Here is a 12,226-nt window from a genome sequence, read left to right on the forward strand (position 1 = left end):
CTAATATGTTTACATTTAATGCAATTACTGATATACTGTTAGTACTAGTGGATTTAAATCTACCAATATGATATGTGCCTCCTATTTGTCCCACTAAGCCTATATTTATTTTCTCTTCTTTCTTGCCCTCTTTTTGATGGATTTTTAAAAATTCCATTAGCTCAGAAGTGTCTATGCTTTTAGTGGCTACCCTAGAAATTAAAACATGCATATTTAACAAACCCGTTAGAATTAATCAATTCCTTCCAGACAACACAAGGACATTGGAGCACTTTATTTTATTTATACCTCTGATAATTTATATATTACTATGTTTCTTCATTCTATTTTTTAATCACACAAATTATTAATATTGTTGTATAGTCCATGTTCATTTCACATTACTCACATATCTACCTTTTCTTTCTTCCCCAATTTTGTACCTCAGGCTGTCATCTGTTATTATCGCCTATCTATTTGAAGTTCATCCTTTAGAATTTCTTTCTAATCAGGACTCATTTTGGTAAGCTCTTTTCATGTTGGTTTGCCTGAAAAAAAAATTATTAATTTTATGCTCATTTTAAAGTTATGTTTTATAGGTTTTGGAGTATGGGTTAGCACTGCATTGCAGATAACATTCTCCTGTTTTCTGGCTTCCATAATGTTCTTTATTTATTTTTTTAATAGTTGGATTATTGCTATGTTGCCCAGGCTGGTGCACCATGGCTCTTCACAGGTGCGATCACTGAATGCTGCAGCCTCAAATTCCTGGGCTCAAGAGAGCCTCCAGCCTCAGCAGGTGTGCACCACTGCACCTGGCCAGCACTGATGTTCTTGAGCAGTCATTTGTCAGTGTAACTATTGTTCTTTTGAAGGTAAGCTTTTTTACTCTAGCTGCTTTTAAGATTTATTATTTGTATGCCAAAACTGTATATAGTTTGGTGGGACTTGTTTTTGTTTATCCTACTTGGGAATCACAATTCTAAATCTATGAATTGCTGTTTTTCATCAGTCCTGGAAAATTTTTAACCATTATCTAACCCAGTATTGCCTCTGCCCCATCTACTTTTCTTTCTAGCACTCTAAATATATATATATAATATATATATGCATATATATTAAAGTATATTAAATATATATTATATATATTAAATATACATTAGAACTTGTCATTCTGTCCTTCATGTTTCTTAGCTTCACTTTCATGTTTTCTATATTTCTATCTCTCTATGCTGCATTCTATCTAACTTTTTCTGGCCTATTTTCCATTTCCATAAATCTCTCTTCAGCTATGTATAATTGGCTCTTAAATCTGTCTGATGGGTCTTATATTTTGGAAACTACATTTTTAATGTTTAGCTCTAGTTGATTCTTTGTGTAATCTCCCAGATCATGTTCAATTATTTCCTCCTTCCCTGCAGTTACTTTCAAATTTGTATTCATTTATGTAAACAAAATAAGCCTTTAAAAAAATACACAGCTGACAATTCTAATATCCGAAGTCCTCGTGGCTCTCTGTCTGCCAATGTTTGTTGTTGTTGTTTTTGTTGTTGCTGTTGTTGCTTTGTTTGGCTGATTCCCAATTAAAGTGCTTTGCTTCCTTGTGTACTTAGTAAAAGTTATGTAGGCTGATCACCATCCTTGAAATATTATTTGTGTTGTTCTTTAGGATAAAAGATCTTTTCTCTAGGAAGAATTTGTGTTTTCTTCTGTAAGGCATCTAAGAGGCATTTCCAGGCTAGTACCATCAGGTGTTGTGATGTGAATTTGAACTATAAGTCCATAAGAGGGCTGATTTTTTGTTTCGATTTCACAAGAATGAGGTTTTTTTATTTCTTGTTTGTTTGTTTGCTTGCTTACTTGCTTGTTTTTATTCCTTCTTGGCTCTATTTAATGTTAAAGTAACTTTCCTTGAAATCCTTTGGGCAGAGAATGAGTTTCCTTTTAATTCACCCTTATTCTGATATATAGGCTTTTTGGGATCCAGCTTAGCTTGTCAGGGGTCTCATTTGGTAATTGCCAGACTTTGATGTCTATCTGCAGCACTACAAGACCATCAAAACCAAGTTCAGGTTTTCCCAGATCAGCAACTGCCTTCAGGGTAAAAGCAGATTCTATTTACTCTATTCTTCTTAAGCCCTCTGAATTCACACTCTCCTTTACAATTTAGTTTGATAACTTCTCACAATCTTAATATATATGTCAGAAGAAACTAGGGTATGCTAAGGTAACAAAACTGCCCAATACTAGTGACTTAAAACAATAGAAAAGCATTCCTTTAAAAAAAATGAGAGAGAGAGTGGAGCCAAGATGGCCGAATAGGAACAGCTCCAGTCCACAGCTCCCAGCGTGAGCGATGCAGAAGACAGGTGATTTCTGCATTTCCAACTGAGGTACCAGGTTCATCTCACTGGGGAGTGCCAGACAGTGGGTGCAGGACAGTGGGTGCAGCGCACCATGCGTGAGCCGAAGCAGGGCGAGGCATCGCCTCACCCGGGAAGTGCAAGGGGTCAAGGAATTCCCTTTCCTAGTCAAAGAAAGGGGTGACAGACGGCACCTGGAAAATCGGGTCACTCCCACCCTAATACTGCACTCTTCCAACGGGCTTAACAAATGGCACACCAGGAGATTATATCCTGCACCTGGTTCGGAGGATCATATGCCCACAGAGCCTCACTCATTGCTAGCACAGCAGTCTGAGATCAAACTGCAAGGCAGCAGCGAGGCTGGGGGAGGGGTGCCCGCCACTGCCGAGGCTTGAGTAGGTAAACAAAGCAGCCTGCAAGCTCGAACTGGGTGGAGCCCACCACAGCTCAAGAAGGCCTGCCTGTCTCTGTAGGCTCCACCTCTGGGGGCAGGGCACAGACAAACAAAAGGCAGCAGTAACCTCTGCAGACTTAAATGTCCCTGTCTGACAGCTTTGAAGAGAGTAGTGGTTCTCCTAGCATGCAGCTTGAGATCTGAGAATGGAAAGACTGCCTCCTCAAGTGGGTCCCTGACCCCCAAGTAGCCTAACTGGGAGGCACCCCCCAGTAGGGGTGGACTGACACCTCACATGGCCGGGTACTCCTCTGAGACAAAACTTCCAGAGGAACGATCAGGCAGCAGCATTTGCGGTTCACCAATATCCACTGTTCTGCAGCCACTGCTGCTGATACCCAGGCAAACAGGGTCTCAAGTGAAACTCCAGCAAACTCCAACAGACCTGCAGCTGAGGGTCCTGACTGTTAGAAGGAAAACTAACAAATAGAAAGGACATTCACACCAAAAACCCATCTGTACGTCACCATCATCAAAGACCAAAGGTAGATAAAACCACAAAGACGGGGAAAAAACAGAGCAGAAAAACCGGAAACTCTAAAAATCAGAACGCCTCTCCTCCTCCAAAGGAACGCAGCTCCTTACCAGCAATGGAGCAAAGCTGGACGGAGAATGACTTTGACGAGTTGAGAGAAGAAGGCTTCAGAAGATCAAACTACTCCGAGCTAAAGGAGGAAGTTCAAACCAATGGCAAAGAAGTTAAAAACCTTGAAAAAAAATTAAATGCATGGATAACTAGAATAACCAATGCAGAGAAGTCCTTAAAGGACCTGATGGAGCTGAAAACCACAGCACAAGAACTACGTGACAAATGCAAAAGCCTCAGGAGCCGACGCGATCAACTGGAAGAAAGGGTATCAGTGATGGAAGACGAAATGAATGAAATGAAGCGTGAAGAGAAGTTTAGAGAAAAAAGAATAAAAAGAAACGAACAAAGCCTCCAAGAAATATGGGGCTATGTGAAAAGACCAAATCTACGTCTGATTGGCCTACCTGAAAGTGACAGGGAGAATGGAACCAAGTTGGAAAACACTCTGCAGGATATTATCCAGGAGAACTTCCCCAATCTAAAAAGGGAGGCCAACATTCAGATTCAGGAAATACAGAGAAGGCCACAAAGAAACTCCTCGAGAAGAGCAACTCCAAGACACATAATTGTCAGATTCACCAAAGTTGAAATGAAGGAAAAAATGTTAAGGGCAGCCAGAGAGAAAGGTCGGGTTACCCACAAACGGAAGCCCATCAGACTAACAGCTGATCTCTCGGCAGAAATTCTACAAGACAGAAGAGAGTGAGGGCCAATATTCAACATTCTTAAAGAAAAGAATTTTCAACCCAGAATTTCATATCCAGCCAAACTAAGCTTCATAAGTGAAGGAGAAATAAAATACTTTACAGACAAGCAAATGCTGAGAGATTTTGTCACCACCAGGCCTGCCCTAAAAGAGCTCCTGAAGGAAGCACTAAACATGGAAAGGAACAACCAGTACCAGCCACTGCAAAAACATGCCAAATTGTAAAGACCATCGAGACTAGGAAGAAACTGCATCAACTAACGAGCAAAATAAGCAGCTAATATTAATTCACACATAACACTACTAAACTTAAATGTAAATGGGCTAAATGCTCCAATTAAAAGACACAGACTGGCAAATTGGATAAAGAGTCAAGACCCATCAGTGTGATGTATTCAGGAAACCCATCTCATGTGCAGAGACACACATAGGCTCAAAATAAAAGGATGGAGGAAGATCTACCAAGCAAATGGAAAACAAAAAAAGGCAGGGGTTGCAATCCTAGTCTCTGATAAAACAGACTTTAAACCAACAAAGATCAAAAGAGACAAAGAAGGCCATTACATAATGGTAAAGGGATCAATTCAACAAGAAAAACTAACTATCCTAAATATATATGCACGCAATACAGGAGTACCCAGATTCATAAAGCAAGTCCTTAGTGACCTACAAAGAGACTTAGACTCCCACACAATAACAATGGGAGACTTTAACACCCCACTGTCAACATTAGACAGATCAACGAGACAGAAAGTTACCAAGGATATACAGGAATTGAACTCAGCTCTGCACCAAGCAGACCTAATAGACATCTACAGAACTCTCCACCCCAAATCAACAGAATATACATTCTTTTCAGCACCACACCACACCTATTCCAAAATTGACCACATAGTTGGAAGTAAAGCACTCCTCAGCAAATGTAAAAGAACAGAAATTGTAACAAACTGTCTCTCAGACCACAGTGCAATGAAACTAGAACTCAGGATTAAGAAACTCACTCAAAACCGCTCAACTACATGGAAACTGAACAACCTGCTCCTGAATGACTACTGGGTACATAACAAAATGAAGGCAGAAATAAAGATGTTCTTTGAAACCAACGATAACAAAGACACAACATACCAGAACCTCTGGGACACATTCAAAAAAGTGTGTAGAGGGAAATTTATAGCACTAAATGCCCACAAGAGAAAGCAGGAAAGATCTAAAATTGACACCCTAACATCACAATTAAAAGAACTAGAGAAGCAAGAGCAAACACATTCAAAAGCTAGCAGAAGGCAAGAAATAACTAAGATCAGAGCACAACTGAAGGAGACAGAGACACAAAAAACTCTTCAAAAAATCGATGAATCCAGGAGCTGGTTTTTTGAAAAGATCAACAAAATTGATAGACTGCTAGCAAGACTAATAAAGAGGAAAAGAGAGAAGAATCAAAAAGACACAATAAAAAATGACAAAGAGGATATCACCACTGATACCACAGAAATATAAACTACCATCAGAGAATACTATAAACACCTCTACGCAAGTAAACTAGAAAATCTAGAAGAAATGGATAAATTCCTCAACACATACACCCTCCCAAGAGTAACCAGGAAGAAGTTGAATCTCTGAATAGACCAATAACAGGATCTGAAATTGAGGCAATAATTAATAGCTTACCAACCAAAAAAAGTCCAGGACCAGACGGATTCACAGCCAAATTCTACCAGAGGTACAAGGAGAAGCTGGTACCATTCCTTCTGAAAGTATTCCAATCAATAGAAAAAGAGGGAATCCTCCCTAACTCATTTTATGAAGCCAGCATCATCCTGATACCAAAGCCTGGCAGAGACACAACCAAAAAAGAGAATTTTAGACCAATATCCTTGATGAACATTGATGCAAAAATCCTCAATAAAATACTGGCAAACCGAATCCAGCAGCACATCAAAAAGCTTATCCACCATGATCAAGTGGGCTTCATCCCTGGGATGCAAGGCTGGTTGAACATACGCAAATCAATAAATGTAATCCAGCATATAAACAGAACCAAAGACAAAAACCACATGATTATTTCAATAGCTGCAGAAAAGGCCTTTGACAAAATTCAACAACCCTTCATGCTGAAAACTCTCAATAAATTAGGTATTGATGGGACGTATCTCAAAATAATAAGAGCTATCTATGACAAACCCACAGCCAATATCATACTCAATGGACAAAAACTGGAAGCATTCCCTTTGAAAACTGGCACAAGACAGGGATGCCCTCTCTCACCACTCCTATTCAACATAGTGTTGGAAGTTCTGGCCAGGGCAATCAGGCAGGAGAAGGAAATAAAGGGCATTCAATTAGGAAAAGAGGAAGTCATATTGTCCCTGTTTGCAGATGACATGATTGTGTATCTAGAAAACCCCATCATCTCAGCACAAAATCTCCTTAAGCTGAGAAGCAATTTCAGCAAAGTCTCAGGATACAAAATCAGTGTGCAAAAATCACAAGCATTCTTATACACCAATAACAGACAAACAGAGAACCAAATCATGAGTGAACTTCCATTCACAGTTGCTTCAAAGAGAATAGAATACCTAGAAATCCAACTTACAAGGGATGTGAAGGACCTCTTCAAGGAGAACTGCAAACCACTGCTCAATGAAATAAAAGAGGATACAAACAAATGGAAGAACATTCCATGCTCATGGGTAGGAAGAATCAATATCGTGAAAATGGCCATACTGCCCAAGGAAATTTATAGATTCAATGCCATCCCCATCAAGCTACCAATGACTTTCTTCACAGAATTGGAAAAAACTACTTTAAAGTTCATATGGAACCAAAAAAGAGCCTGCATTGCCAAGTCAATCCTAAGCCAAAAGAACAAAGCTGGAGGCATCACGCTACCTGACTTCAAACTATACTACGAGGCTACAGTAACCAAAACAGCATGGTACTGGTACCAAAACAGAGATATAGACCAATGGAACAGAACAGAGCCCTCAGAATTAATGCCGCACATCTACAACTATCTGATCTTTGACAAACCTGACAAAAACAAGCAATGGGGAAAGGATTCCCTATTTAATAAATGGTGCTGGGAAAACTGGCTAGCCATATGTAGAAAGCTGAAACTGGATCCCTTCCTTACACCTTATATAAAAATTAATTCAAGGTGGATTAAAGACTTACATGTTAGACCTAAAACCATAAAAACCCTAAAAGAAAACCTAGGCAATACCATTCAGGACATAGGCATGGGCAAGGACTTCATGTCTAAAACACCAAAAGCCAATGGCAACAAAAGCCAATTCACATAGGTGAGAATGGAACAATGAGAACACATGGACCCAGTAAAGGGAACATCACACACCGGGGACTGTTGTGGGGTGGGGGGAGGGGAGAGGGATAGCATTAGGAGATATACCTAATGCTAAGTGATGAGTTAATGGGTGAAGCGCACCAACATGGCACATGTATACATATGTAACAAACCTGCACATTGTGCACATGTACCCTAAAACTTAAAGTATAATAATAATAAAATTTAAAAAAAAATGAGAGAGACAGTCTCCCTGTGTGGCACAGCCTGGCCTCAAACACCTGGGCTCAAGCCATCCTCCTGCCTCAACCTCCCTAGTAGCTGAGACTAGAGGCACACACCACCGCGCCTGGCTAGAAATGTATTCTTAATAACAAAACTCTTATGTCAAGTTGGCAGATGGTGTGCTCCCCATTTTCCTCACTCAGGGAGCCATGATTACCATGGCACAGGGAATGGTGAATCACACATTGACCTTAAATGACTGCAAAGAAATAACACAAATCAGTTACCTCTGCTCATATTTTACTGTCCAAAGCAAGTCACATGGCCACACCAACTTCAAGAGGGTGGGGAGGAACAATGCTGAGCACATGAGTGCTCAGAGAACTTGAAATGACGGTAAACATCCCTAATGACTAACACACTTGTCAATTATTCAATACTTTCAAGGATATATTTTTTAAAATATATTTGCCATATTTGTGATTGTTTTTAAAAGGAAAATTGGCTCAAATCATTGTTTTTCTATAATTATATCCTCCCTTTTAATGCCCACTGACATACAATGAGTCTCGGTCAAATACATCTTGGGTATATATGTCTCTCTTCCCCACCAGTAGTCCCAAGGTATTGAAAAGCAAGTTGATGGTTCTCGAAGATATTCAGCTATTCAACTAGAAAAATTTTATTTACTTTCACAGGACTGTAAACTGCACCATATATTTGTTATACAACAAAGATTTTTAAAGTTATTTTAGGAAACTTTATTTGTTCACTTAGGCTGTTAAATATATTTGTTAAAGAAATTGATTTTGCTTACAAGCCTTAAATGCATTCACCAAGCCTTGAGTTAATTAATCCATAAGTCTCTTTTACTCACAAGCCTAATAGTAATTAACTCCCTACTTTATACATACTGAGTGCTTTCTTTCATTAGCAAGAAAGCACCAGATTCTAGTGAAGATTTTTCTCTCTGCAGTCTGCTTGAAATAAAAAGCTCCTCTCGCAGATTCAGATTTAAACACAATATGAAGATACTTTCTTTTCTTTGAAGGTCAAGTACTATTGAACACATAGGAGATACAGAATGAAGAAGACAGAAAGGGCCCCTGATATCATGGACTTGACATTCTAAAGAAGAGGCTGGCAAACTATAGGCTGCAGGCCAAATTTACTCTCTCTGCCTTTGTCAGCTGCCTGGGTATCCATGCCCAGAATGACCGTGGCACCCACATGCAAAAAATGGCATCTCTCAGCCCAGTTGGTTGAATGACAAAAAGGACACAGAGACATCCCTGCCATGAATAAGAGGCAAAATTCTACTTAATTAATCATTCATATTTCAGCAATATGGATACATATAGGGTTATGGATGATGGATGAACTGAAGATACACTGAGATAGACACAGAGGAGAAGCAGCAGCAAGGACAGGTTTTGCAGAAAGCATAACGAATATGTATGAAATACTGGGTCTAGTAGATAGCTGGATTGACCTACCTAGGCTCAGGTGAGAGTTCCTGGCTGGAGAGAATAGACCTGAAGTTGCCATTATTCTAAAGGTAATTAAAACTATTTCTAGATAGGATGGCTCACAAAGCAATGGAACACTTATGTTCTATCTAGGCACAAAGCTAATGTCAAAGTCTCATTCTGGTGTCCTAGGTCTGTAATTGTGAAAGAGTTATCTACTCTGAAGAGTGCTTTTTATTGCCCTATGAACTGTATGAGATGGCACATACCTCTTTTGGAAACATGGAGTGATTTCTTCCTTTCATTACCAGTCCCTGAAGCAAACTGGTGAAAGGGTGGCCTCTGACTCCGTTTCCTAGTGAGTGAATACTAATGAGAACAACTGCCCTTCAAACAACAGAAGATGCAATCAGCAAGCAACTAGCTATGCTGCAGGACCGACAGAGGGAATCTGGTTAAGGATTTGGCCAAATTTCTGAAAACGTTCTTCTCCCTGGAGGAATTCTGTCATTAGGATGAATGACACTGTCAGTTAAACAAAATTTTCTGATTAATGTAATTTGGGCTTTTTGTTTGTTTTGACATGTGAATTTGCGAGAAGGATGAGTGGTGTTAGGAATTACTACTGTGCATATTCCTCTATCTTAAATTCATTTACATCCCTCCATTTAAGTTGCCATAGAGGTTGCTATGGAGAGCTTTATGTCCAGTGACATAAATGAACCCCAAAATACATGTGTTACAAATGCACCTACCCCAATTTTGTATTCAGTGATTGTTAAATTATTTTGAAAATATGAGTAGCCTCTGGTAATTAGAGAATACAGAGGCTACAGAATTCTTTACCTCCAATATTGCTCTCAGGTGTTAAATTTCAATAAAAGCAAATCCCTTACAAATTTTGCCGTAGGTATAATATTTATTCTCATGTTGGCACAGAACAGTCTCATAGCTTGCTTCTGTAAGCATGATAAAGTCCTGCTCTCTGTTTGTATGCATTTCAACAAGTATCTGCCTGGAAATTTCAATTTGAGACTGGTGCCATGATATCCTAAAGGCTTCTAGTTAGATGGGGAAAACATGGTCCTTTATTAATTCAGGAAAAACAGGAACAAAGGGAATTCTAGATTTCAGCCACCCCTCTGAAGGTGTTGGACTGCAAGGCTTACTGAATTCTTGTATCTCCCTTATGTGAAATCTTTCTCAACCACATATCTAGAACACCACTCATTCATTAATAACAAATTATTTCTAGCATGCCTTACTTCTGGTGTACATTTACATAACAATATTTGAAGTGTCCGCCGTTTATATCTGCTGTGTGAATTCTGCTGATTAGTTTTCTCCAAATGCCAACTAACCTCTCTTAATGTGTAGATCAAGTTTACCCTGCACATGGATTTATACCATACTATTCATAGTATTTTTAAATAAATTACCAAACAGAAAATTCTAAATACTTTATTTTTAAAAGTACAAAAACCTCACAGAGTCATATTCAAAGTTTCCACCAAAATGGATAACATTGACCATTTTTGGCAGTACAAAAATGCACCTCCCCCATCCCATACACTAAAAGATATAATATCTAAGAGATGATGCCTAAAACAGGACACTTCGCAAGCATGCATGCCATTCATTTTACACACAGTCTCCCAGGGAAAGGACTTGAAACTACAGATCCTGGCCAGGATTCCACCGACTTGTTCCTCATCTCCCAGAGACTATTGCTGGGAAGGGCTAGAATAACTCCACAGAGACTCATTTCTGCTATAGCATAGCACTATTTTTTTATCCACTAATTTGGGAGTGGACAGTAATTTATATTAGCATGTCTTGTCAACAATATGTAGGGGTTCCTTGTCAGTATGTGAGAATAGCACCCTTTAATTAAATAAAGGTTTGACAGCACAGCCATGGGTAGGATAGATCCAAAAGTATGTCCTATTCACCACTTAATAAGGAAATAAACTTATTATCAGGAAAGTATGTTGTGTATAACAGTCAGATAGTATAATGTTCATCTCCTCTATAGTATGTAATAAAAAAGCTTTTGGCCAGGTTGGGTGGCTCATGCCTGTCATCTCAGCATGTTGGGAGACTGAGTTGGGAGGATCATTTGAGGCCCAGAGTTGGAGACCAGCCTGTACAACATAGTGGAACCCTGTCTCTACAAAAAAAAAAAAAAGAAAGAAAGAAAGAAAGAAAGAATTAGAAGGGTGTGGTGGTGACATGCACCTATAGACCTAGATACTCAGGAGGCTGAAGCAGGAGGATGAGGATAGCTTGAGCCTAGAGTTTGAGGTTATAGTGAGGACTATGATGGCACCACTGCACTCCAGCCAGGGTGACAGAGAAAGACCTTGCCTCAAAAGAAAAAAAAAAAAAGAGGAAAGATTGAAAGGAAAAACCTTTTCGGGTTTTGGGGTGGGATGTCTCTGGACCTGCAGTACAACTGAAATAGGATTCAAGGCTCCAGAAAGAAAACAGACCCCTGAGGGAAGGGGGTGATGATCTTCTTTTGAGATATTAGAATGAGGTGGGTTTTGATGGCTTGAAGGGCACAGATACTTCCTTATTCCTCAGGCCATGGTTGAGGAGCCTTTTCCTAATAATCTAGAACAGACTCGGAGATATAGACTATTTGTAAATAAGATTACTTTATTCCTGCATCTTGATTGTTTCTTCCTTATATTTTCCCTTTCCCTTTCCCACTTGGCAAGAATTGGCTTTCTGTTCAAGGATCTTTTTGCATCTTTGTCCAGCTTTAGCCTGGTGATAACTGCCCTGCTGCGGTGAATGCCCACATGGGTGGTTTTGCAATTAGCTTTTTTTCCACCGCACCTGTTCAATGTAGATGACATATTTCATCCTGTAAACCTGGATTACTTTGCCAATTTGCTGACCTTTATAGTGTCCTCACACAACTGAACTTCATCATCCTTTCAGATGGGCATGGATTGAACATCGTACTCTGTCTTAGCTCTTTGGAAAGAAGGGAAAATGTAATCCTCCTGAGAATGTGGGAAGGCTTATTGAAATGTCCTTTATGGTTCTTGATTCAGTCTATAGTGATAAATGGATTGAATTTCATTTTGGTCACTGCCACTTCGGCGATGGCCACAAAAAAAGAG

General features: G+C 39.4%; 1 pseudogene; it reads right to left on the reverse strand.

Moving 5' to 3' along the window:
* RPL26P31 (ribosomal protein L26 pseudogene 31) lies at positions 11,737 to 12,226 on the reverse strand (annotated as a pseudogene).

The sequence above is a fragment of the Homo sapiens genome, chromosome 11 (assembly GCF_000001405.40).
Source record: "Homo sapiens chromosome 11, GRCh38.p14 Primary Assembly".
Taxonomy (NCBI): Eukaryota; Metazoa; Chordata; class Mammalia; order Primates; family Hominidae; genus Homo; species Homo sapiens.